The sequence below is a fragment of the Homo sapiens genome, chromosome 11 (genome assembly GCF_000001405.40).
Source record: "Homo sapiens chromosome 11, GRCh38.p14 Primary Assembly".
Lineage (NCBI taxonomy): Eukaryota > Metazoa > Chordata > Mammalia > Primates > Hominidae > Homo > Homo sapiens.
The window spans coordinates 70,582,587-70,608,560 of record NC_000011.10 but is presented as its reverse complement, the minus strand read 5'-3'; the positions used below and the strand labels follow the sequence as shown (position 1 = coordinate 70,608,560).

General features: G+C 51.9%; 1 protein-coding gene across 32 annotated transcripts in view, besides 4 other annotated features; it reads left to right on the top strand.

Annotated features, from left to right (window-relative positions):
- The window catches only part of SHANK2 (SH3 and multiple ankyrin repeat domains 2), a 785,381-nt gene that overhangs the window by 644,674 nt on the left and 114,733 nt on the right, over nt 1-25,974 (top strand). The gene's annotated exons all lie outside the window — the stretch shown is intronic.
- Nucleotides 23,351-23,891: an enhancer, noted in NCBI's record as "H3K27ac-H3K4me1 hESC enhancer chr11:70430775-70431315 (GRCh37/hg19 assembly coordinates)". NCBI's record gives its function as "activates a minimal SCP1, AML or CMV promoter by ChIP-STARR-seq in naive H9 embryonic stem cells {active_cell/tissue: H9 hESC(naive)}" and the evidence as "EXISTENCE:reporter gene assay evidence [ECO:0000049][PMID:30033119]".
- Nucleotides 24,443-24,945: an enhancer, noted in NCBI's record as "H3K4me1 hESC enhancer chr11:70429721-70430223 (GRCh37/hg19 assembly coordinates)". NCBI's record gives its function as "activates a minimal SCP1, AML or CMV promoter by ChIP-STARR-seq in primed H9 embryonic stem cells {active_cell/tissue: H9 hESC(primed)}" and the evidence as "EXISTENCE:reporter gene assay evidence [ECO:0000049][PMID:30033119]".
- Nucleotides 24,946-25,447: an enhancer, noted in NCBI's record as "H3K4me1 hESC enhancer chr11:70429219-70429720 (GRCh37/hg19 assembly coordinates)". NCBI's record gives its function as "activates a minimal SCP1, AML or CMV promoter by ChIP-STARR-seq in primed H9 embryonic stem cells {active_cell/tissue: H9 hESC(primed)}" and the evidence as "EXISTENCE:reporter gene assay evidence [ECO:0000049][PMID:30033119]".
- Nucleotides 25,448-25,950: an enhancer, noted in NCBI's record as "H3K4me1 hESC enhancer chr11:70428716-70429218 (GRCh37/hg19 assembly coordinates)". NCBI's record gives its function as "activates a minimal SCP1, AML or CMV promoter by ChIP-STARR-seq in primed H9 embryonic stem cells {active_cell/tissue: H9 hESC(primed)}" and the evidence as "EXISTENCE:reporter gene assay evidence [ECO:0000049][PMID:30033119]".

Below are 25,974 nucleotides of genomic sequence, written 5' to 3'. Positions count from 1 at the left end.
ACCTGCAGAGCCTTTACATGACCCCATTTTACAGATGAAGAAGCTGAGGCTCAGGGAAAGGCTGGGTGACTTAGCCCAGGTCCCAGAACTCAGAGGTGCAGACCTACCCTCCAGACCCCATGATCCCCCATCAGGAGCTGGGGTGTTCGAGAGAAAAAGTTCCCATCGCCAGGTGGCCTTGGAAGCCTGCAGGCCCCCTACGTGTTCAACTAGGGAGCTCCTCCTGTAGCCCAGTCAGTAGCTGAAAATAGTAGCTCTTTTCACAAAGAGGAAAGAAATATCCCTTCTGGCTGGGTGAGGTGGTTCGCACCCACAATCCAAGCACTTTGGGAGGCCAAGGCAGGGAGATCGCTTGAGCTCAGGCTGGGCTACGTGGCAAAACCCTGTCTCTAAAAGAAAACAAAGAAAAAGAAAAATCTCTTGCAAATTAGGGTCAGATTCCGATTTCCCACAAGAGCAGCTGGCACATTTACCTTTATCTGGCAAAGGCAGCAGGAATCGGACATGGCGGGCAGTGGTCAGGAGCCCTGGCACTGCCTTTTCTGTGTGACTCTGGGCAAGCCACTCAGCCTCTCTGGTCAGAGTCAACTGTGGAAATGAGCAGCTGCTCATGCTGCCCCACAGGAACGCAAGGATGGAGCTGGAACCAGATTCTTCTTTCTGAAAGGGGGGCTATATGTTGTCCAAGAGACAGAATACTCAGTGGTCTCTTTCTGGCCACCACATGGGGCCTCTCCCGCTTAACCCCAACTCTCGGAACTGGCCAGCCAGGCTGGCATTAGGCGGTGCTGCTGCTTCAACACAGAGCAGAGCTGGCCACTGCCTGCTCACAGGATGGTGGCATGTCCTGGGGGCCCTGTGGTGTGGGGAGTTGGGAGTTGCCCTTGTTCTCCTTGGACAAGCCAGGGGTATACAGGGAGGCCATGCCTTCTTCCAAGCTGATCTGCTCTGTTTGCTGACGGCCACAGGCATTTTCCAAGAAGTCCCTGGACCCGTGGGCCCAGGGAGTAAATGCTGGCAAACAGGCCCTAGAGCCAGTGTGTGCGTGCAGGTGCTGGGCACAGAATGGGCACCTGAGGGCAGGGAGTGGGGTGTGATGGTGACCAGGACCCAGTTGGTCACCTCTGACTTCCGGGAAGACCTGGCCAAGCATGTACTTGGTTGGGGAGCTGGGTGTGGGGCAGGCACATAGGGAGAGAGGAGCCGGAAAGTGGCCAGGTTCTTAGAATCTGCCAGCTGGTCACCTCTGACCTTCCACGGAGGCTGGGCTCAGAGTTCAGCCTGGAAACCAGTTCATCTGTTAAAATTCCCCTAGGACCTAGGGTACGTGACCTGGGCAATCTGCAGTACCCAGACCCCGGAGCCACATTCTTCCCAGACCTGAAAAGGCACATATTGCTGTTGGTGCCCGGGGAGGAAGGCGGATGTTTCCAGGAAGGCCGCCCCCGTCTGAGGGGCCACAGAAGAGGGCTGAGGCCTCAGATCCGAGTGTGGATTTTGGACTTCCACTGACCCCGGCTATGTGGAGGGGCCAAGTGGGTGGGCACCCCTTGCTGGCCTGCCCCTCCAGGCACCTGTCTAGGAGCTGCAGACACAGACGACATGACTGGGAACTCAGGTCCCGAGCCTCATCCTTCTCCAGGGCTGTGCAGAGATTTAAGGGCTTTGCACTGAAGGATGAAAACAGCCGAAGAACAGGGTTGCTCAGAGACATCACCTAGCGCACCTCCCTTCCGTATCTTCCTGCTGCGGTTTGACCCAGTAACAGGAATCAGGACTGCAGAAGCGCCTGAGGCCCAAGGAGCAGACGGTCCATTCCATCTTGCACCTGGGCAGCTCCTAACCCCAAGCCAGGACCTAGAAGTTACAGAAATGGTGAGGATGACCACAGGCCCTCAAAGACACAGACGCCCAGGAGGGGAGTCTGAGGGGTAATTGTACTGCAGGACTTGGCCCCCCACAAAGGACCTGCTGATTCAAACTCTGAAGTCTGCACAGTAAGGCTGAGGATACAAGCTAGGGCCTTTTTTTTTTTTTTTTTTTTTTTTTTTTGAGTCAAGGTTTCACTCTGTGGTTCATGCTGGAGTTCAGTGGTACAATCACGTGACACCCCCCCACCCCCGGGTCATATGATGGCATGTGCCACCACACCCTGCTAATTTTTTATTTTTTGTAGAGATGGGATCTTGCTGGATTGCCCAGGCTGGTCTCAAACGCCTGGCCTCAAGCGATCCTCCCACCTCAGCCTCCCATAGCATTGGGATCAAAGGCAGGAGCAACCAAGCCTGTTCATGCTAGGATCTTTAAAGAGTGAGTAGGAGTCTCTTCAGTGGAAAAGGTGGGGGAAGGATGGGCAATGGAGCCAGAAGAGCTGATTTCCAGACATGGGTTGGGCTGATTTTTGAGTGGGGTCTTTGCTGGTATTGGGGTGGCTCTGGATGACCTTCCAGCTGCCCCCCTGCCATGCACACTTCCTGGCAGCAGAGCACTCATGAAGCAGCCCCGATCTGCTGTCGTCTGTCTGGGGAGCCCGACCCTCGGATGGTTATCTTTCCCCAGGATTCTTAACTGAGGGTACTTCATGCCATCTTTTTACCCCAAGGAGGGGGGGGAATAATAGGTTGTTCTAGAAGGGTCATTTAAATTTGTGCTTCCTCCTTCCTCCTTCCTCGCTGGCTTCAGGCCCCTAAATCCAGCTCTAGATAAGAAAGTGGTCTTGCTGCCAGCCCACCTGCCGTCCTGGGGCCTGTTGCCGTGCAGTTTCCTCGGGTTTTCTTTGCTCTGGTTCCAGGAGGAAAACATCAAGAAATGGGTTGGAAATCTGCATCTGTAACTCAATTTGTGCAATGAGCCCAGGGAAACGTGCAGTTGAGCTCTGCGTTCCTCGTCCCCCTCCGCCTCCTTGGAGAGAGTTCGATATGGACATGCTCCCCGTGCGCCTGATACATCTGAGCTTCACTGAGCGGTCAGTAGAGTGGAAATGGCTAAAAATAAGGCCACCGGAGGCAGCCGGCCATTAAGAAATCTGCAGGAGCTCACATGGCTCTGTGGTCCCAGCGTGCTAATCGCTGGAGGGTGAGAGACCAGCTGCATTAGGAAAATGCAAGTGTGGAGTGTCCAGCCTAAACATGAGTGGTCACAGGGGGGCTTCCTGCCAAGGGCCCTTTCCTAGCCACTGAGGGTGCGCCTGTCGCGGGCTCACCCGCTTGCTGCCTTCTGGGCGTGGCCAGCCAGGCTGTCTCCGGGCTGGGCTGCAGGAGGCTTCACTTCTCACTCTGGGTGTTCCCACCCCCGGGGCTCACAACGATGGAGTGGCCAGGCCTAGCAGGGAGAGCATCTTCCAGAAGAGGCATGTTTACTTTAAGATTTGGCATGACAGGGGGCTTTTTTTATGTAGAAAGACACGTGGCCCTGTTAAAAAGCGCCATCCCAGGCTCAAGCCCTGCCCTTCACTGAGGATTCTCAGAGCCTCCCATCCTCGGAGGGCTGCTGCAGGCCCCTGGCCCTGCCCCAGGCTGCCTGACCAAGGCCCATCTGGTCCTGACTGTAGAGCCTGGTGCTGCTGCTGGTGAATCCCGATGGGCCCTGAAACCGCGGAACCTGCCTTGTGACTCACACGCTGCCCACACACCACTGCCCTGTGTCCAGCACCCTTGTGTGGCCAGTGCAGATGGATTGGGAGGGGGCCAGAGCCAGGCCACTGGGGCTTCCGTCCCATTGCCACCCTCAGCCCTTCTGTGCCTCAGTTTGTCATCTGTGAAATGGGGTGAGGATCATATGACTGACCCCCTTCAGGGGCCATTGTGAGACTTCAGTGGTTTTGTTTATGAAAAGCACTGCGTATGCTTGCGGCATGCCGCTATGCTGTATGTAGAATGCATGTTGTATGTATACATGTGTAGTATATCAACGCATCATGTATGACATTGGGGAAGCTTTGTTGCCACTGCTTTCAGTGCGGTCCTCATTGTCTCTACACAGCAACCACTCACCAGGAGGTCTCGGGTCAGGCGCCTGCCCTCCCCAAGCCGAGCGTTTATGTCTGTAAACTGGCGTGATCATAGTGCCCACTGCAGCCCAGAGCACCAGCACCACCTCTCCCAGGCCACCCCCTGGCCCTCCTGGACTCACTGTCCCAACCATTCAGAGGGCAGAGGGTTCTGGAGGGTCCTCCACGTAGCTGTGTGCCCCACAGTTCCCATCTGCCATGTGCAGATCTGCCAGAGAGGCTGGGAGGAGCAGGGAGCGCAGGGTAGCCCCCCACGGGCATCCAGCTTCACTCTCGTGCTCTTGCACCGCTCACTTGTGTCTCCCAGTTTTGCTCACCATGGAAATGCCCCACCATGGGTGAGAGAGCCCTTCATGGGTGTTTATTAAAGGAGGGAGGAGAAGGGAGACTCTGCCTGAGCAGCTGGGCCTGCGCAGAGACAGAGGGGCTGTCCCTCCCTCCAGGCTGCTCCCTCCAAGGCACCGTCTCCTCCCCAAACCCTCCCGCCCTCTCTGGCTTGCTGCTGGCTCTGCACACAGGCACTTGGGGCGGCAGGCAGCTAACATTTCATGGGCCCCTCGATGTTACTTTTGCATTGCTGCAGTGCCTGTGGTTAAATATTTGCATAAATAATTTTATCGGGTCGTTCTGCTCTCCTCACCCCACTTCTGGGTGCCAAGCACCATCTGCTCAGCATTCCTGCGGCCACCACCAGGGCATCGGGCAGGTCTCTGCCTGTCCCCTGGGCAGGGGATGGATCCTGATGAGTGGAGAGCTCCACAGACATTTCCTTGCCTGCAAATTAGGCTGAGAAGGGGGACTGTGGGATTCTCCTGGCGCCTCTTGAGTTTTTCTGAAAGCACCAAGGCTGTTGGGAGTGGGGAGCAGGACTGGCCCAGGAGAGGGCTGCCTAGCATGGAGGAGGCACCTTCTCCGAGGTCCCAGCTCAGTACCTCACTAGCTGTGTGGCCTGAAGCAAGTCACTCAACCCTCTGTTCCTTGGTGTCAGTGACACATTATTAGTGGCTCACCTGCTCAAGAATGATTTGTGTGCCTACTGAGCAAAGGTTCTGCTGGACTCTGGGTTTACTGCAGCTGTGGACCAGCTGCTGGACAGGGTCAGGGTCAGGATGTGGAGGGACACTGGGGATATGCCTTTCTCCTTCGGGCAGCTGGGAAGATGGGCTGCTGCCCCAGAGGAGGAAGGGAAGCCTGGAGGAGGAGCGGTGATGGCTGTGGCTTGGTGTTGGTCTCAGGACGGCAGCCAAGCTTCCTGCCCACAACTGCTCATGGGGCCTGAGCCTCGGGCTCAACTGCCATCTGGGCCTGGACCCATCTGGTGTACATGGCCCATGGTTGGCGGTTTCTCCCCATGTCATGGAAGCATCACGGAGGTGCTGGCCTGAGCCAAGGGACACCGTGCAGAGCCAGTAGGGCTGTGAGGGGTCCCCCACCACCGCTTCCTCAGGATTTTCCTTGGGGTTTTACCACCTGTGTTGATATCACTAAACAAAGCTAACGTTTACCTGTTTTCCAGCTTTCTGTAAATGGACATTTGCCACCTGCATTCTTTGCCGACCTCTGCCACGGGCCAGCAGTATGCTCTGGGGTTCTGCCTCCCCGGTGTGTGTGTCTCGTTTATTCATTTTCCCACCTGTGTAGGACTCTATCATATGATAGACAGCTTCTTAGTCGCTATCCAAAGCCTGTGGGTCCACGTGCATTTCAGAATAAACATACATCATGCATGTATTTGTTTAATATTGTAAAATGTAATGTTATACAATTTATACTATAAAATAAATTTCAGAGGATGTAACATTTTATGTATTTTATATATAATTCCAGTCCAATCATGTCATGTAATCAAGCACACTGATTTTTCTGCATCAAAATGTCCAACTATTCAGTGGGATAAATGCAGAGAGTAAATACAGGCGTTGCCACCAGTATAATTACCGAAAAGAAGAGGATGAAATGTTTTTGTTTCCAGAGCCTCGTGGAGGTGGGAATCTGGGGTCTGGTGTTGTGACCCGTCCCATCACTGATGTGTCTGTTCTCTTGCTGAGGGACGTGTGACCCCCTCCTGGTTTGGGGGGCTGTAAACAGAGGAACTCTGAGCACTCCTGCGTATTCTCCTGATGTCTGAGTGTAGGTGTTAGGAGAGCAGCTGCTAGATCACTAGGAGGCAAGTGTTCAGCTCTACCACGTGGAGGCCGAGACCTCTCTGCAGGGAGTTGCATTAGGCCCTTCTTGTGTTGCTGTAAAGAAATATCTATGACTGGGTAATTTATAAGAAAAGAGGTGTAATTGGCTCACAGTTCTGCAGGCTGTACAAGAAGCATGGTGCCTGTATCTGCTTCTGGGGAGGGCTCAGGGAGCTTTTACTCATGGTGGAAGGTGAAATGGGAGTAGGCAGTTCACACAGCAGAAGCAAGAGCGAAAGCAAGCAAGGGGGAGCTGCCACGCACTTAACCAGAGCTCCGGAGAACTCACTCACTATTGCAAGGACAGCACCAAGCCACGAGGGACCCGCCCTGAGACCCAGACACCTCCTGCCAGGCCCCACCTCCAACATTGGGAATTAGATTTCAACTTGAGATTTGGGCAGGGTTAAATATCCAAACTGTATCAGCTGCGTTCCAGCCACCTGGGTGGCAGGTCTCCTGGCTCCATGCTGCAGCTGCCCCTGTTCTGGTTCAGACCTGGCAGCTTTTGTCAATCTGGGAGGTACTTAATAATTTTTCATTGCCATTTGAATGTGCGTTTCCTGATTACTAATGGACTTGAGCATCTTTTATGTTTCTGGACTGTTTGTGGTGCCTTTGCTGGGAAATTCTTATTCTCATCTTCTGCCAGTTTTCTACTGAGTTGTTCATCCTTTTCGGATTGATTTGTGTTCTTTATATATTCTCTTTACTGGCCGGGCGCGGTGGCTCACGCCTGTAATCTCAGCACTTTGGGAGGCCAAGGCAGGTGGATCACCTGAGGTCAGGAGTTGGAGACAAGCCTGGCCAACATGGTGAAACCCTGTCTCCACTAAAAATACAAAGATTGGCCAGGTGCGGTTGTGCACATCTCTAATCCCAGCACTTTGGGAGGCTGAGGCAGGTGGATCACAAGGTCAAGAGATAAGACCATCCTGGCCAACATGGTGAAGCCCTGTCTCTACTAAGAACACAAAAATTAGCTGGGTGTGGTGGCATGCGCCTGTAGTCCCAGCTACTCAGAAGGCTGAGGCAGGAGAATCACTTGAATCCAGGAGGCAAAGGTTGCAGTGAGCCGAGATCGTGCCAGTACACTCCAGCCTGGTGACAGAGCAAGACTCTGTCTCAAAAAAAAGAAAAAAAAAAATTAGCTGGGCGTGGTTGCATGCACCTATAGTCCCAGCTACTCAGGAGGCTGAGGCATGAGAATCGCTTAAACCCAGGAGGTGGAGATTGCCGTGAGCTGAGATTACACCACTGCGCTCAGCCTGGGCATCAGAGCAAGACTCCATCTCAAATATAGATATAGATATAGATATAGATATAGATATAGATATAGATATAGATATATTCTCTTTACTAATCTTTAGCTTGTCTTTTCATTCTTTTATGACAAGTCATTTCTAATTTAATGTAGATGAATTTATCAAACTTTCCTTCAGAGTTTGTGATTTTTCTGTCTTATTTAAGAAATTATCTTCTCCCAAGAGTTTGTAAAGCTGTTTCCCAATCTTATTTTCCAGGAGTTTAAAGTTTGTCTTTCATATGTAAGTCCTTAATCCAAGAATTCAGATTGTGTGTGTATGTGTGTGTGTTATGTGAGGCATGGATCTAATTTCACTTTTTCCCCTGAGGACACCCCATCCTTCCAGCAGCATTGGTGGAATAAAACACTTTTCTCCAAGATCTTCCGTGCTGGAGGCGTCATAAACCAAACTTCCACATGGATGCAGGTCTGTGGTGTGGCTGTCCGTTGGTCCATTTGTCTATCTGAGCACCACCTTCATTACCTCTGAATATTTCTCCCCTTCACCCCCAACCCACCCACCTTTTATCTCTTCAGGATTATTTGAGCAATCGTTGGCTCTTTACATTTCCATATGCATTTTCTTTCTTTTTCTTCTTTTTTTCTTTTTCTTTTTCTTTTCTTTTTTTTTTTTTTTTTTTGAGACAGAGTCCTGCTCTGTCACCCAGGCTGGAGTGCAGTGGCGCAATCTCGGCTCACTGACACCTCCGCCTCCCAGGTTCAAGCAATTCTCATGCCTCAGCCTCCTGAGTAGCTGGGATTACAGGTTTGCACCACCGCGCCCGGCTAATTTTTGTGTTCTTAGTAGAGACAGGGTTTCGCCATGTTGTTCAGGTTGGTCTCAAACTCCTGACCTCAAGTGATCCACCCGCCTCAGCCTCTCAAATGGCTGGGATTACAGGTGTGAGCCACCGTGCCTGCTCCATATGTATTTTCCAATCAGCTTATCAAGTTACACCAAAACAAAACAGCAACAACAAACCCTATTGGGATTTTGGTTAGAATTGCATTGACCCAGAATAGACCAATTTGGGAAAAATTAACCCCTTCACAATGTTGTCTTCCTGTTCAAGAACATGATACATTTTCTTTCTTTCTTTCTTTCTTTCTTTCTTTCTTTCTTTCTTTCTTTCTTTCTTTCTTTCTTTCTTTCTCTTTCTTTCTTTCTTTTTCTTTCTTTCTTTCTTTCTTTCTTTTTATTTCTTTCTTTCGTTCTCTCCTTCCTTCCTTCCTTCCTTCCTTCTCCCTCTTCTTTCTTTTCTTTTCTTCTTTCAGAATCTCACACTGTAACCCGGGCTGGAGTGCAATGGCACAATCTCAACTCACTGCAACCTCTTCCTCCCAGGTTCAAACAATTCTCCTGCCTTAGCCTCCTGAGTAGCTGGAAATACAGGTGCCCGCCACCACACCCAGCCAATTTTTTTTTTTTTTTTTTTTTTTTTTTTTTTTTTTTTGAGACGGAGTCTCGCTGTCGCCCAGGCTGGAGTGCAGTGGCGCAATCTCGGCTCACTGCAGGCTCCGCCCCCTGGGGTTCACGCCATTCTCCTGCCTCAGCCTCCCGAGTAGCTGGGACTACAGGCGCCCGCCACCTCGCCCGGCTAATTTTCTGTATTTTTAGTAGAGACGGGGTTTCACCGTGTTAGCCAGGATGGTCTCGATCTCCTGACCTCATGATCCGCCCGCCTCGGCCTCCCAAAGTGCTGGGATTACAGATGTGAGCCACTGCGCCCTGCCTACATTTCTCTTTCAAACTGGTTTTTTAAGTATCTCCACAAAGAGCTTCTGCAAAACCTTTTTTAGATTTATTCCTAGGTAGTTTCACTGATGTCACTTCATGATATATTTTTCAGAATTGCATTTGCTGATTCTTGCTGAAATGTAGAAATATGGCTGGCTTTGGTATATTGATTTTTATTTTATCCAGCCACTTTGCTGAATTCTCTTATTAATTCTCATCTTTTATCGACTGATTATCTTTTTTCTTCCTTTCTCTTTTTTTCTCCGCTAGCTAGGACCTGCAATAAAATGCTGAATAGAAGTGGGAATAGTGGGAATACCTGCTTTGTTCTTGATCTTTAAAAAAAAAAAAGCTTTCAAAATTTCTGTTGACTCTAGTCTTTTTTTTTTTTTTTTGACATGCAGCTTATCAGGTTAAAGTATTTTATTCTTTTCCTAGTGTGCAAGAGATTTTTATTTAATTGCAAGCGGATAATTAATTTCCTCAAGTCCTTTTTTGTATCACTTGCAAAAATTACATGGCTTTTCTTTGCTAATGAATTGTATTAATTGATGTTTCTGTTAGATCAGTCTTAGCTTCCTAAGATAAACCCGACTTGTCATGATGTAGTAATCTTTTTAATATGTTGCCAAATTCCATTTGCTAATATTGTGTTTAGGATTTTTGCATCCAAGGTCATGAGTGAGATTTGTCTGTAATTTTCCTTTCTGAGGCCATTCTTTTCCAACCGGAGTCAAGCTCTTGCCAGTCTCCCAAGAAGCTGGGGAGTGTTCTCTCTTTTTCTCCAGAAGACATTGTTCGGGTTAGAATTATGTGTTCCTTCTGCGATGGCTTGACCCTGCTCAGAAAGCCATCTGGGCCTCATGTTTTCTTTATGAAAGGATTTGCAACTTCTGGTTCAATCTCTTTCAAGGTTACAGAACTCTTCGAGTTTTTATTTTTTCTTGTGTCATTTGTGCTAACTTCAGATCCATTTTCAGCTCCTTCCCAGATAGTCAAGGGCTCCCTGCCAAGCCTCCATTTCCAGCCTCTTCCTCTATTCTTCTCCACCTTCCAATACCCTTCTCTCCAGCCCAACTTGTGTGGCCCTGAGGTCATTCGACAAATGACCTCAGTCATTCGTCCCGCCCCATCGCCTGCAGCTGCAAACGGGCTCCATCTGCCCCTCTATGGGACCCTGTCTACGGCACGTTCCCCTGCTGGCTCTGGACTCCAGCGCATGGCCAGAGTTCTGCAGCCCACTCCACCCCTGAGTGTCCAGAGGGGCAGTTAGCGGACAGCATTGCCCTGTGTGCTGTGCAGAGACGAAGCACAGCTTCCAGGAGCTGCTGTCAGACTTGGTTGGTGCAGGGGTGCCCGCAAGGCCTCTCTCAGGGGTTGCATCTCAGGTGGGGTCTGAAGGGGTCTGGATCCTGCCACTCTGGTGTTGGTTGGTTGGTTGGTTGTTTTGAGATGGAGTCTTGCTTTGTCGCACAGGCTCGAGTGCAGTGGTGCGATCTCAGCTCACCGCAACCTCCGCTTCCTGGGTTCAAGCAATTTTCCTGCCTCAGCCTCCCAAGTAGCTGGGATTACAGGTGCCCACCATTCTGCCCAGCTAATTTTTGTATTTTTAGTAGGGATGAGGTTTCGCCATGTTGGCCAGACTGGTCTTGAACTCCTGACCTCAGGTGATCCACCCACCTCGGCCTCCCAAAGTGCTGGGATTACAGGCGTGAGCCACTGCACCCGGCCCATCACTCTGGTATTTTCTGATATGCCTGCTCAGAAGTCCCATGAGGACTTTGCCAGGTAAAGAAAAATCTCTTATCCTCTCTACCCTCTCTATCCTCTCTACCCTCTCTATCCTCTCTACCCTCTTATCTTACCGCCGCCAGCTCCACTGGCCGCCTCTCAGGGGGCTTTCCCTGTGAGCCCCAAATCCATGGTGTGGCAAAGAGGCAACCCCTTCCCAGGGCTCCTCCAGGTTTCCTGTGTCTACTAAGTACTTGCTGCTTCTTGGCATCTCCACAGTTATTATGGGGTGCCTGGGTAGTGGAAGGGAGTAGCTCAAAGGCGGGGGGCAGTGGGTGGAGAGAGAATGAGGGACAGGGAGGAGTTTCCCCTGGCGGCGGGTGCTGAGCCTGGCATGAGTGCCAGGAGTAATCATGGGCTCAGTGACCTTGTGCCCATTTTGTGCGAAACCTGCTCCTCTGTGCTGCTGCGCCCCTGAGTCTGGAGGGAACAGTCACCCCCTGAGCACCGGTGCACAATTATTCAGCTTTGTTCATAGGGTCTGAGGATGTCTGCGCTTGCAAAACAGATATAGACCAGTCACCCCCGAGCACCGGTGCACAAGTATGCAGCTTTGTTCATAGGATCTGAGGATGTCTGCGCTTGCAAAATAGATATAGACCATAGGAGACCTCAGTCATGGGAAAGGCCCCTTGCCTCCAAGCCTGTGCCCATGTTGTGCCACAGCCCGACGCACTGTCCTCTGTTCTCTCCTCCTCCGAGAAGCCTCGATGATTCCTCACACTGGGGGAGAGCACAGCTCCAGACAGCCCCTGAGTGTACCCCACCAAAGTGCCCGTGACCCCGGAGAGAGTGGACTGTTGTGGTCTAGAAGGTGAGCCTTGCAGCAGCCCAGGGAAGGCAGGAAGGAAGGAAGGCCTGAGGGAAGGGGCAGCCACCAGTCCCTGCGCTGCACTGGCCCTGCTGTCCTGGCAGTTGCCCTGCTGGGCCTGCCGCCCCCCCGCATCAGGATTCTGCCCTCAGTGGTTTCTACTTCAGGAAAGTCCTGCAGTCCTCTTGGCATAGCAAGGCCTGGTGGGGGTGGGTCCCAGACCAGGACCCTGATGCCCCTTCCAACCCCAGAACCCTAGAACCCGGGTAGGGGGTCCTCAGAGCTCTTTCCCTTTGCCCCACCCACCCTGGCCTGTCCCTTGGAAATACCCTGGACAGTTTCTCTGCCTGGTGCCTGTGGCTCCTTCCGGAACTGGTGCCCATGCCCCTCCCCTCTTGGTTCCCAGGCGCCAGGTCTGCCTGTGGGAATTGAAGTCAGCAGGAGGCACCATGGCACTGGGAAGCGTCCGGGCTCTGGCCCAGCCCTGGCCCAGGTGCCCCACAGAGCAGGCGGGGAAGGGGGCTCGCCTGGGCTGCCAAACAAATCACCACACGCAGGACAGCTCAGCACCGCAGAGATTGATCCTCCTGCAGCTCTAGAGGCCAGAATTCTGAAACCAAGGTGTCAGCTGGGTGGACTCCCTCTGGAGGCTCTTGGGGAGGGGCCTTCTTGCCTTTCCCGTATCCTGGCGAGGTGCCCCTGATGCCTTGGCGTGGAGGTGGTCACCGCAATCTCTGCTTCATCCTCACGATGTTCTCCTCTGTGTTTGCGACTGAAACCCCGCTCTGTTTTCTCTCACAAGGACACCAGTCGCTGGAATAAAGTCCTACCCTAATCCAGCATGACCTTACCTTAACTAAATCTGCAAAGACCCCGTGTCCAAATCAGGCCACAATCCGCAGTTTGAGAGAAGGGTTTTGTGGCTGGGAGCTGGGTCTCTCTGAGTCATTTCCTGGTGAAGTCCACTTCTGGGTGAGCCTCAATCTTCCCCCGCTACCCGGGGCGGTGGGGCCTCCCAGCAGCTGGGGAAGGGCTGGCAAGCCCCTTGTGGGTAGACACGAATTTTGGGCAGATGCCATTCAACACGGTCCAGGGGAACCTGAGCCGTGGAAGCCCTGTGGTTCTCAACTTTCCCTCACCTCTCCTGTGACAGGGGCTGTAGGCTGGGCTCCAGGCCACAGTTCACCGTCGCCTTCGCAGAGGGTTGTCTGGGCCAGCGTGTGGTTTTCAGAGAGAGTGAGCCAAGCTGGGTGAGCCTCATAGGCCTCAGGAGCCTCATCTCAGGGATAAAAACTCGACTTTAAAAGAAGCCTCAGTCGCTTTATAAATAAATTTATTAAATTCCAAGTTGCTGCAGATGGTGCTGCGTATTTTTAACAAACGCAGCGGCCTCGGCTGGCTGCGAGGGGGCGCTTGGAGGGTGGCACTGGCACCGGGGCTTCCTGAGAGGGGGTCGGGGTGGACGGCCGGGCTGCACCCTTCAAACTGCCCTCCTGGCCAAAGCTGCCTGGAGGGCCACCCCCCACTCCATCCGGTGGCCGATGTGAGGGGCCAGCCTGGGTTTTTCTTGTACCCTGGCAGAGAGCAAGCCTTGGGCCCATTGGCAGGTGAGGGCTGAGAGGTGGGGGGCCCTGCAGGCTGCAGAAACCACCTTGGGGAATGAGGAAGAATGAGGCCCACCCAGATGTGAAGCCTGCCAGGAAATGGGCTCAGAGAGACCCGGCTCCCGGCTCCCGGCCCTGAAGCCCTTCTCTCATCATTTGTTCAGGGTCACTTTTTTTGAAATTTTACTGAGGTAAAATGAACCACGAACATGGGGTCCCTGAAGGTGCATGCAGAGGGGCATGGGCTGCAGGGCTGGAGGAGCATGGGTGGGAATCCGCAGCTGCCTTGGGCCATAGCGAAAGGGCAGACGCAGCCACTGTTGCTTAGGTGATGGGCAACGAATGCCCATTAGCTCACTCTTCACTCCATTCATTCACTCAGTGTGTATAATCAGTGACATTTCGAGGTTCACGGTGTTGTTCCACCACAACTTTTATCCAGTTCCCAGTCATTTTCCTCACCTTAGAATGAAACCCTGGACCCAGTAAGCACCTGAGCCCCATTGCCCCTGCCCGCCCTCAGCCTGGCAACCACCAAGCTACTTCTCCTCTAAAAGTGTGTCTATTCCAGGCTTTTCATATACTGTTGATACTCAAGCTCCTTGGGTTGACTTCATGCAGATTTTTTCCAACCAAACATGGGTCAAAAATACAGTATTCGTGGAATGCAGAACCCACCCCACGTAGAAAGGAGGCTGGCTTTTCATATACGTGGGTTCCTCAGGGCCAACTGTGTGACTTTTGAATATTCTTGGATTTGGGTCTGTGCTGGGGTCCTGGGACCGATCTCCAGAGTGCACCAAGGGCAACCGTGTGTGGACTCACGTAACGCGATCTTTCGTGTTTGGCATGAAGTCGCTGAGCATCCCCCACGCCCCGGCATGTCAAAGCTGCGGTCCTTTTTGTGGCCGAATCATATCCAATGGTGTGGGTAGACCACAACTGTTGACTCATTCATCTGTGGATGGGCATTGTTTATAAAGTCAGCTGAGGCACAATAAAATTTTAAAGAATTGATGTGAGCAAGCAGCGATTTACGAATCGGGCAGCTCCAACACGGCAGTGCCTAGGAAGAGGCCCTGGAGGACATCTGGTCCACCCTTCTTTCTGCAAGCCCCTCCCTGGCACTTGTATCCCTTCCTCACACCCTCCACGTGGGTTCACTCAGCATCTGACACCAGCAGGTCCCACATGTGCATCAGTCACTATTGTATCACCAGAGCCTAGAACAGCATCTGGACTGTAGCAATTCATTGAATGAATGAATGAATGAATGAACGAACGAACGAAGGAACTAATGATAACAGTTGCATAGGTCCCTCCAGCTGAGGCCAAAGGGATCCAGATTGGAGTCCTTGTCACTCGAGAAGGTGGACACTCCGTTTGCCCACAAAGTCAGGAATGTAACCTGCCCAACCCTGCCCCAGGCCTCCTGACACTGAATGCCCTTTAGCTCACTCTTCACTCCGTTCATTCACTCAACAGGAGTTGGTTGTGGACAGAGCTCCCTGGGGGTGTTGTAGGTGTGGGAGGTGCCTTCCTGCCACTCTAGTATTTTCTGACACACCTGCTCAGACGTCCCGTGGGGCAGGCAGGCGAGGTAGCCACCATGCCCAGGTGGGGAAACTGAGGCTGAGTCTGATGAAACAGCACCAGCCTCCTCCAGGACCACTTTGGTGTAAGAGCTCTTGAGCATTCCAGGATCCAGATCTAGAAACAACATTTCACAGCCCCAGAATAAAAAAAGGCAGCAAGAATGTTCAGATTAGTAAATATTTAATTACTATATCCTACCTTCATTCACTGTTAAATGCAACATTCATTTAAAAACAGGCTGTAGGTTAGATTTTTCTCAATGCAGCAAGAGTTCTCAGAACTGCGTGGAGACTGCTGAGAAATTATAGAATATAATAAGTAGAGGAGCTACACCTAGCCAAAAATGCCACCAAAGTCCTACGCGTGCTGGGACAGTGTGCGTTCATGTTGGAAATGGTGCTGGGAGGACTTTGACAGGCAGCAGGGGCAGCCACAGGCCTTCCCCGAACTATGGGGCCAGACAGACGTGGGAAGTTTTTCATGCGAGGCCAGGGCTGGGACCCACCCCTCCGATAGCTGCAGGCTCCCTTCGTGAGTCCCTCCTTTCGGCGAGGGTTTGCTGGACATCTTGGGGTTGCATCACGTAGGTGACAGGCCTGGGGGCAGGGCCGAGGAGGCTGGAAACCCTGAGTGCTACCCCAGGCGAGGTGGGGATGTCTGGGTGTCCCTCTGCTGGACATCGGGTCCCTGAAGGTGCATGCAGAGGGACATGGCTGCAGGGCTGAAGGAGCATGGATGGGAATCCGCAGCTGCCTTGGGCCATAGCAAAAGGGCAGACGCAGCCACTGTTGCTTAGATGATGGGCCGAAATGGGAGGGGGCTGGAGGAGGGAGTTGGCCTAACCACACAGCCCTTGTTCTAAGAGGTGAAGCAGGCCAGGACCAGGGCTGCACACATTTGCCCTCAACGGGGGGTGCAGACAGAGGGACAGAGGCTGCCCAAGACCCGCCTTGGGCAGAAGGGGGGCCACCGAGATGCCGCACGGCCTTCAGAAAGACTCCCCTGGCCGTGGCTGGAGGGGGTGTGCTGGGATGCAGAGCTGGGTGTGTGCTGCTTGAGTCTGTGTTGGCTGCATCAGATTGGTGGCCACGTCCCACCCAAAAGCCTGCGTGGAAGCTCCACCCGAGTCAGCAGAAGTCCTGCCTCTCACTCCGAGTGGGAGCAGACTGCATCTCCTCTCGGACTGACCCAAAGACAGTGCCAGCCTCCCCAGGCAGGACCCAGTCCTCACCTGCCCTGGCTGTCCCCTGGGGGACCAGCGACAGCTGCCTCTGTCTTTCCCCTGTCCCCTGCGTGCAGAGGGAAGACGGAGCAGGTAGAGTGAGGAGGCCGGCGGTCAGCACACATCAATTCACAGCCTGAGCCACAGGAGAGTATTAGAGGCTTGACAGGGACTGGGCTTCCTGCATGCCCTGTTTAAATGTAGTCTCCACACCTCTGCTTGTTATTTTTTATTATTTTTATTTTTTATTTATTTATTTTTTTTTTAGACGGAGTCTCGCTCTATCGCCCAGACTGGAGTGCGATGGCGCGATCTTGGATGGTGCCATCTCAGCTCACTGCAACCTCGGCCTCCCGGTTTCAGCGGTTCTCCTGCCTCAGCCTCCCGAGTAGCTGGGACTTCAGGCACACACCACCACACCCACCTCATTTTTTTGTATTTTTAGTAGAGATGAGGTTTCACCCTTTTGGCCAGGCTGGTCTCGAACTCCTAACCTCAAGTGATCCACCCTCCTTGGCCTCCCAAAGTGCTGGGATTACAGGTGTGAGCCACCGCGCCCGGCCCACATCTCTGCATTTTAAAAAATGTTTCAGGAGATCAGTGTAGCTCAGGTCTGCCCTTGAGAGAAAACACTATTTCAGGATGTTTTCACATGGTCTTCCTGTCCCTTTTTAAGTTGTTGAAATGTGTTATGTTTCCTTGGAGAAGACAAAAATGGAGCTATGATGTTGCTTTTTTTTTCTTTTTCTTTTTCTTTTTTAAGAAAAGCAAATGTTGTATCTCCAGAAGTTGACAGCGTTTGAGTCCAGGGCAATGCGCTTACTCCTGTAATTTATCTGCACAGATTGGCTCTGTGGATTCCGGCTCCTTCTTCTATCTTTTGGTTCTTTCTTTTCTACCTTCTTTTTTCTTTTTTTTCTTTTTCTTTTTCTTTTTCTTTTTGTTTGAGACAGAGTCTGTCTCTGTAGCCCATACTGGAGTGCAGTGGCATGATCTCTGCTCACTGCAACCTCTGCCTCCCAGATTCAAGCGATTCTCCTGCCTCAATCTCCCTAGTAGCTGGGATCCCAGGCACTCACCACCGCACCCAGCTAATTTTTGTATTTTCAGTAGAGACAGGGTTTCACCATGTTGGCCAGGTTGGTCTCGAACTCCTGACCTCAAGTGAGGTCCAGTGATCCGCCCACCTCGGCCTCCCAAAGTGCTGGGATGACAAACGTGAGCCACCATGCCTGGTCTCTACCTTCCTTTTTCTGACCCATTTGTAGACCTTCCCTTTCCCTCCATTTCTTTGTCTTTTCCTTTTTTAAAAGATAACATCTACTGGGGAGAGGGATACTAATTATAAGCAATGAATCTGCCAGGCATGAAAGCCTTGGCCCCAAGAGGAGCCTCGTTAACTCCAGGATGACTCTCAGCTCTTGTTTTCTGCACAGGCCGACCTGGGGATATTTGTGGGTTCAGCCCCAGACCACCACAGGAAAGCAAATACCACATTAAAGCGAGATGCACACTTTTTTTTTTTTTTGGTTTCCCAGTGCATAGAAAAGTTATGTTTATCCTGTAGTCTGTTAAGTGTGCAATAGCATCATGTCTAAGCAGTGTGCATATCTTAATTTAAAATACCTTATTGCTGAGAAATGCTAGCAATCATCAGAGCCTTCGGCGAGTCATCATAATTTTGCTGTTGGAGAGTCTCACTTCAATGTTGATGGCTGCTGACTGATGAGAGCGGTGGTTGCCGAAGGCTGGGGTGACTGTGGCAATTTCTGAAAATAAGACAACAATGAAGTTTACCACATCAATTGACTTTTCCTTTCATGAAAGGTGTCTCTGTAGCATGCAATGCTGTTTGATAGCATTTTACCCACAGCAGAAATTCTCAGAATTGGAGTCTTTTCTCTGAAACCCTGCTGCTGCTTTATCAACTAGGCTTATGGAATATTCTCAATCCTTTGTTATCATTTTAACAATGTTCACAGCATCTTTACCAGGAGTAGATTCCATCTCGAGAAATCACTTTCTTTGCTTGTCCCTAAGAAGCAACTCCTCATCCATTCAAGTTTCTCATGAGATTGCAGCGTTTAAGTCCCATCTTCAGCTCCACTTCTGTTTTTGTTTGTTTGTTTGTTTGTTTAGACAGAGTCTCCCTCTGTTGCCCAGGCTGGAGTGCAGTGACGCAATCTCTGATCTCAGCTCACTGCAAGCTCCACCTCCCAGGTTCACGCCGTTCTCCTGCCTCAGCCTCCCGAGTAGCTGGAACTACAGGCGCCCGCCACCGCGCCTGGCTAATTTTTTTTGTATTTTTAGTAGAGACGGGGTTTCACTGTGTTAGCCAGGATGGTCTTGATCTCCTAACCTCGTGATCCTCCTGCCTCGGCCTCCCAAAGTGCTGGGATTACAGGCGTGAGCCACCGTGCCCGGCCAGCTCCACTTCGAATTCTAGTTCTTCTGCTGTTTCCACCACATCTGCAGTGACCTCTTCCCCTGCACCCCTCAAAGCCATCCATGAGGGATGGGATCAACTTCTTCTCAACTCCTGCTCATGTTGACATACTGGCCTCCTCCCATGAATCACAAATGTTCCTAATGCCATCTAGAATGGTGAATCCTTTCCAGAAGGTTTTCAATTGACTTTGCCGAGATCCGTCAGAGGAATCACTATTTATGGCAGCTATAGCCTTACAAAATGTGTTTCTTAAATATGAGGCTTGAAAGTCAAAATTATTCCTTGATCCATAGACTGTAAGTGACTGTTGGGTCAGCAGGCATAACAGCATTAATTTCCTTTTACATCTCCAGCAGAGACCTTGGGTGACCAGGTTCATTGTCCATGAGCAGTAACATTTGGAATGGAATCTCTTTTTTCTGAGCAGTAAATCTCAACAATGGGCTTAAAATATTCATGCTGTAAATAGCCATGCTGTAAACAGATATGCTGTCATCCAGGCTTTGTTGATCCATTTATAGAGCACAAGCAGAGTAGGTTTCACATAATTCCTAAGGCCCTAGGATTTTCAGAATGGGAAATGAGTACCAGCTTCAACTTAAAGTCACCAGCTGTACTAGCCCCTCACAAGGGAGTCAGCCTGTCCTTTGAATCTTTGAAACCAGACATCGATTTCTCCTCTCTAGCTATGAAAATCCTAGATGGCATCTTCTTCCAATAGAAGGCTGTCTTGGCCGGGCGCAGTGGCTCACGCCTGTAATCCCAGCACTTTGGGAGGCCGAGGTGGAAGGGTCATGAGGTCAGGAGATCGAGACCATCCTGGCTAACACAGTGAAACCCCGTCTCTACTAAAAATACAAAAAATTATGTGGGTGTGGTGGCGGGCGCCTGTAGTCCCAGCTACTCGGGAGGCTGAGGCAGGAGAATGGCATGAACCCGGGAGGCGGAGCTTGCAGTGAGCTGAGACCGCACCACTGCACTCCAGCCTGGGCGACAGAGCGCGACTCCATCTCAAAAAAAGAAGGATGTCTTGTCTCAATTGAAAATCTGTTGTTTAGTGTAGCCACCTTCATCAATGAAGTTAACTAGATCCTCTGGAGAACTTGCTGCAGCTTCTCCATCAAGACTTGCTACTTTGCCTTGCGTGTTTACGTTACAGAACACAGCTTCTTTTCTTAAACTTGATGGAAGTTGCTAGCTTCCAACTTTTTTCCTGCAACTTCCTCAGCTCTTCAGTCTTCATAGAATTGCAGAGAGTTAGGGCCTTGCTCTAGATTAGGCTTTGGCTTAAGGGAATGTTGTGGACAATTTGATTTTCTATCCAAACCAGTTAAAACTTTCTCCATATCAGTGATATGGTTGTTCCAGTTTCTTATCAGTTGTGTGTTCACTGCAGTAACACTTTTAATTTCTTTCAAGAGCTTTTTCTTTGTATTCACAGCTTGGCTAAACTGGTGCAAGAGGACTGTCTCAGCTTTCAGCCTATCTCAGCTTTTGACATGCCTTCCTCACTAAGCCTAATCATTTCTAGTTTTTGATCCAAAGTGAAAGATGAGTGACTCTTCCTTTCACTTGAGCAGTTAGAGGCCATTGTGTGATCATTAATTGGCCTTATTTCTTTTTTTATTCCCTTGGCATGTGAAATAAGAGCTATAATCAGCCTAATTTCTATATTGTTGTGTCTCAGGGAATAGGGAGGCCCAAGGAGATGGGAAGAGACGATGGACCAGCCAGTTGATAGATCAGTCAGAACACACAACATTTATCAGTTAATTTCTCTGTCTTATATGGGTACAGTTCATGGCACCCCAAAACAATTACAATAGAAGCATCAAAGATCAGTCATCTCAGATCACCATGACAGATATCATAATACTGAAAAAGTTTGAAATGTTACAAGAATTGTCAAAATGTGACACAGAGACATGAAGTGAGCACATGCTATTGGAAAAATGGCACCAACAGATTTACTTGCCTCAGGCCAGGCACAGTGGCTCACACCCAGAATCCCAGCACTTGGGGAGGCCAAGGTGGGAGGTTCACTTGAGGCCAAGAGTTTGAGGCTGCAGTGAGCTGTGATCTCGCCACTGTACTCCAGCCTGGGTGACAGAGCAAGACCCCATCTCTTAAAAAAAAAAAAAAAAAAAAAACTGGACGTGCTCAACAATGGGTTGCCATAAACCTTCAGTTTGTAACAAATGCAGTATCCCCAAAGCACAATAAAGCAAGGGGTAATAAAACAAGATATGCCTCTGCATCTTTTTTATACCTTTTCTCTGAATGTCGGACTCGCTGTTCCATACCATTTTGTAACCTACCCTTTTTTTCTGAACATGTGGGGAATATTTTTTCCTGTCGGTAAGCACTGTCATCCATGCCTTTGATGGCTGCGTAGAATGCCCCAGACCAATTTCGTTTTTCCCTGACTCTCATGTTTACAGATGTACCCGTGGTGCCGCGACAGGCTCCTTTCTCCAGATCGCTCTCCCCGCTTCTCCCCTCTGCCCCATTAGGGCCTGTCTAGTTAGGGGTCCTGTTGGCCAGGCTGCCTTTAGAGAAAGCATTTAGAGGAGGGACTGGCAAGTGCATTGCTTCATTTCTTGGTGATTCATGTGGCGTGGCATCCCTGGACATCTGAGAGAACTGCTTTCATAAAGCCCGGCCCAGCTCGCCGTGGAACTCTGTACGGCAGTGGAAGTGACGCAACAACCCTAGTGTTGTGGTCGGGAGAGCAACACAGGCCCTCAGCAAAGGGAGTGGGCTGCAGAGGAGCCATGGGCTAGAGTGTGACCCCATTTTGTTCAACAAGAGCACTGGCATGTGTCTGTATTCCTGCATGTGCCCAGCGGTGCATGGAGAATGACCTCGAATAACAATCTTCGGAGTGACGTTTGAGGTCGTCTCTGGGAGAGGAGTGAGGTGGGGGAGGGAAGAGGGAGACTTTGCCTTTTCTGCATTATTTTCATCTTTCCCAGGAGTGACGTATTCTGGGATGGCGTCTCTAGGCTCTGCCCACTCTGGGGGGGTGAGGTACTGGTGTCCTTCCCCGTTCCGGGGAGCGGTACCCTCGAGACACCTGCCCACTCCCGGCTCCAGCTGCGAGCCGTGCTTCCCTCGCCATTCCCCTAGGATAAGGGTCAAGAGATATAAATAAGGGAAGGAAATGCTTTTTTCAAATTGCTAAATTTCTCATTGCCAGTTGGTTTCCACAGCAACGGTGCCAGAGGCTGGCGATCTGTACTGAGAGTCTGCGTCCCAGCATGTGCCCCTTGGCCAGCCATGCAGGGGCCGCCTCGGAGTTAGCTTCCGAGGTCTCTGTGAAGAGTAGTGTGTCCAGGCTGCCCAGCTCTGAGTGACAAGCTATGCAGCACCTTGGGGCCCTCCTTGCCACTAGCCCCGGCCACGCCTTAAGAGAAGCCAATAGGTGACCCCGGCCCCAGAACCTCCCTCATTCGCACCTGCCCCTCCTGCCCCCAGCAAGCCTTCTAAGGCGCAAGTGATCCTTGTGCCCAGCTTTTAAAGATTCTTCCAGAGGGTCCCTGAGGAGGCACCCCATTCCCATCTTCCTGATCTGCCCCCACTGCCCACCTCACAGCTCTCTTTCCTCAAGCACTCCTCTCTCCCTTGCTGACTCCTGGGCGACATTCAGTCCTGACAGTTACATCCTAGAGAAGCCTTCCCTGACCTTCCCCCTAATTAGAATAGCCTCCACCATGTTACACAACCCAGGGCAGGCACCTGTGCGATTCTCCAAGAAACTTCACCACACTCGTGGCTACTTGTTCAGTTGTCACTTGCAGGTTGCAAACTCCACAAGGTCAGGGTTGAATCGGTCTTTTTCCCAGCTGTCTCCCTATGGGAGGTTGTCATTAAACAGTTCAGATAGCTGTTGGATGGATGGATGGATGGAGGAATGGATGAAGGATGGGTGGATGGATGGATGGGGGGAGGATGGGTGGATGCATGGATGGATGGATGGCTAATTGGATGGACAAATGCATGGGTGGGTGGGTGGGTGGGTGAGCAAATGGATAGATGAGTGGTTGGGTAGTTAAGTGGATGGATGGATAGAGGATGGGTGAATGCATGGATGGATGGATGGATGGATGGCTAGTTGGATGGACGAATGAGTGGGTGAATGGGTAGGCAAATGGATAGATGAGTGGGTAGTGGGGTGGGTGGATGAATGGATGGAGGGATAGATGGGTAGATGGATACATGAAAAGAGAGATGGATGGATGGGTGAATACATGGATGAATGAATGAGTGGGTGGGCGGGTGGATGGATGAATGGATGTCTGGATAAAAGCAAGCCTGTCCTTATTAGGAACAAAGAACAGGGAATGATTCTGGTCAATTTGTGTTAAATGCCAGGTGAAATTGGAGAGTATTGCAGGGCAGTGTGGCCTGGGACTTAGAGCTGTGAGGACCTGGGGCAGCTTTACCGACTGGCTGCTTCCCCATTCCTCCCTCATGCTGTCCCTGCCCCACTCTGCCAGTCTGTTCTATTGTCACTGGTCCCAAATTCTCTGCTTCAAAAATCAGCCCATCCAGCTGGCTCTACTGGTCATCCCTGCCCCATTGGCAGTGCCCTTTGCATCAGCTCTTGGCTTTAGCCCCTGCCAGCCAGTGGATGGACCACCTGTGATCAGGAGCCCACCCTCGAGTCAGGCGGTCTCCCAGGGCCCAGAGCCTGGCACCATTTCCCTTGAGCCAGAGTGGGCGTGCTGTGGCCTGAGCTGTGCCAGCTCAGAGGGGCTGCGAGGCGGTATTCACCATGCCCCCACACACAAAATCCAGTGCATCCAAGCCCCTGGGGTGGTAGCCACGGAGCTCAGGGGCTTGTCCTCCAGCCCTTAGGCCTCTGCGTCTCCGCTGACGATCTCAGGCACCAGCATGCACCAGACCGTGCCAGCACTGCCACTCTTTTCAGAACATGTAGTGGAATGACACAAAACAATTGCCTTCAGGGACTTGCTTTCCTGGATCCTTTGTCAGGCAGGTCCTGTGTACCGCAGTGTTTTAAAATGTAGGTTTTATTATTATTCAGGTATGGCGAGACCAACGGATCAGGGGGACAGCTGCTAACTCACTCTTCCCAGGAGGTAGGGGAGGCCATGCCTTGGGGGCCATTCAGGGAAGCACAAGGTCCATTAGGAGGCAGAGGGAGAGGGGGGAAATGTGGACAGGAGCTTTACCATGATTTCTGCAGGAAGGAGCAGACTAAGTAGGCAGTGTAAGTGGGTTTAGCGTTGGCAGCTGGAATCATTTCAGAGCTCTGGGGCCTAGGGCCTGTCCCTGGCTGTCCGGTACCCAGCCCTGGGGTGATGGGGGCAGGGTTAGTGGCTGGGAGCATGGGACCCGGATAGAGGAGGGGTGGGGTGGCCTCTGTTTTAGTTGGTTAGCATTTGAAAATCCAGCTCTCAGGTGAGCTGTTTACTTTCTCTAGGAATTGCCTGATTCTTGAGGGGCCATCCCTCCAGGGTCAGCAAAACCCTGGATGCCAGAGCATCAGAAAGAGAAAATAAAAGACACAGATGATAGGCCTGTCACACGGGATCGGAACACAGACTCAGCCCTGCATGTGATTCGAGCGCCAGGATGCCTGGCTTAGTAACTACCTCCTACCTTCGGACTCACCAGACCCGCAAGTGTGCCCTTGATCCAGGCCCCACTCTCAGAGCTGGGGACACATCAGGGGCCAACCAAGGGCAGAGTGGAGCCAAAGCGCTGGCAGGTAGACCCGAGTCACAGGCAGCCATCACGGCCGATAATTGAATGGCTCTGGGGGTCGGCCGGGGATGAGACCTTGAGGAGCATGCTCGCGGTGGCTGCAGAGTCATGCACGGTGGTCAGGCCATGCCCAGAGGTTAGAGGGAAGCAGGAGGGCTGTGCAGCTGGGCTGAGCAAGCTGCAGAGAGTGGCAAGGGAGAGAGGGGAGGCATGGCTGGGCCAGGCCGTGGGAACCTGTGGGCCACTGGGCCATGCTGGCTTTTACCTGTGAGGAGCGGGCAGCCCGCAGACGTTATACCGTGGGGTGATGGTGAGATCTTGTTGGGTTGCGGAGGATCGTTCTGGCCACTGGGTGGACAAAAGACTGCAGAAGGGACACACAGCCTCGATGGTTCATTAGGAGGCTCCTGACAGTGAGCGTGGAGTGGACAGGCTCCAGATTTTATCCTGAGCCACTCAAGATGGAGGGGGCTCAACCCCAGTGAATTTGGGATTCGATGACCCGGAGTGCATGTTTTCCGTGCCATCTGGGCAGCTGGCATTTAGCTGCGCTTTCCTGGCACTGCCCTCCTTGGAGCCAGAAGTCAGCCAGCCCCTTGCAAGAATCAGAGCTCATGAAAATCGCACCTGCCAGTATTCACCGAGCACTTGCTGTGCTGTAGGCACAGGGCAGGACTGGACTCCCTCTGCCTGTGCCACAGCCCCGAAGATCAGGGCACTGTGGATGCTGCTGCCACACGCTGGCCCCTGTTCTGCGGCTGGATCTTCTGGCTCTATCCTGGCCCTGTACCCTTGCCCTCCAGGTCACCTTCTCGCCACATGCTCCCTCTGCCAGCAAGGCCTCCTCCCACCTCTTGCATCAGTTGGGGACATGCTGCTAGGCCTTCTGGAGTCAGCCTGGGAATCCCCCATCTTTGGAGCCATACCTGAGCCCGTAGATAGATGAAGGCATCCCCGCTCTGGCCTCCGTAACTCCCTTACATGTTCTCAGCCACAGCCCAGTGCCCCTGCCCCAGGGCCAGGCACCATGCAGATTCTCCCCCAATCTTCCCTCTGTCCCCCGCTCCATGTGGCTGTCAGAGTGCTGAGCTGCACCCCCAGCCACAGGGCAGCACCCTGGCCCCACGAGCCTGCTGCAAGCCTCAGGAGAGTGAGCTGCACAGCAGACCCTGCCAGTGATTCCTGGGGCTTCTCAGACCTCACCAACACCTGAGGGTCCTGCTCATCAGACACGCACACCCCACCCCCATCCCCAGCCCAGACTGACTGACTCAGATCACCAGGGAGAGGGCCCAGGGTCTACATTTGTCTAAAGCCCCCCAGGTGGTTCTGAAGCTCCGCCAGCTTCTAGAACACCACCATAGCACACACAGATGCTGCCTGTGACACGCTGTGTTTTCGGCTGTCATCTCTGGGATAAGGCCCCTTCAGGGACCCCGACAGCATCGGAAGTGAGACCCTGCATCCCCACACCCGACTGGGTGCCCACCAGGACCTGTGAAGGCCCATCGCTCCAGGGCCACCCTCAG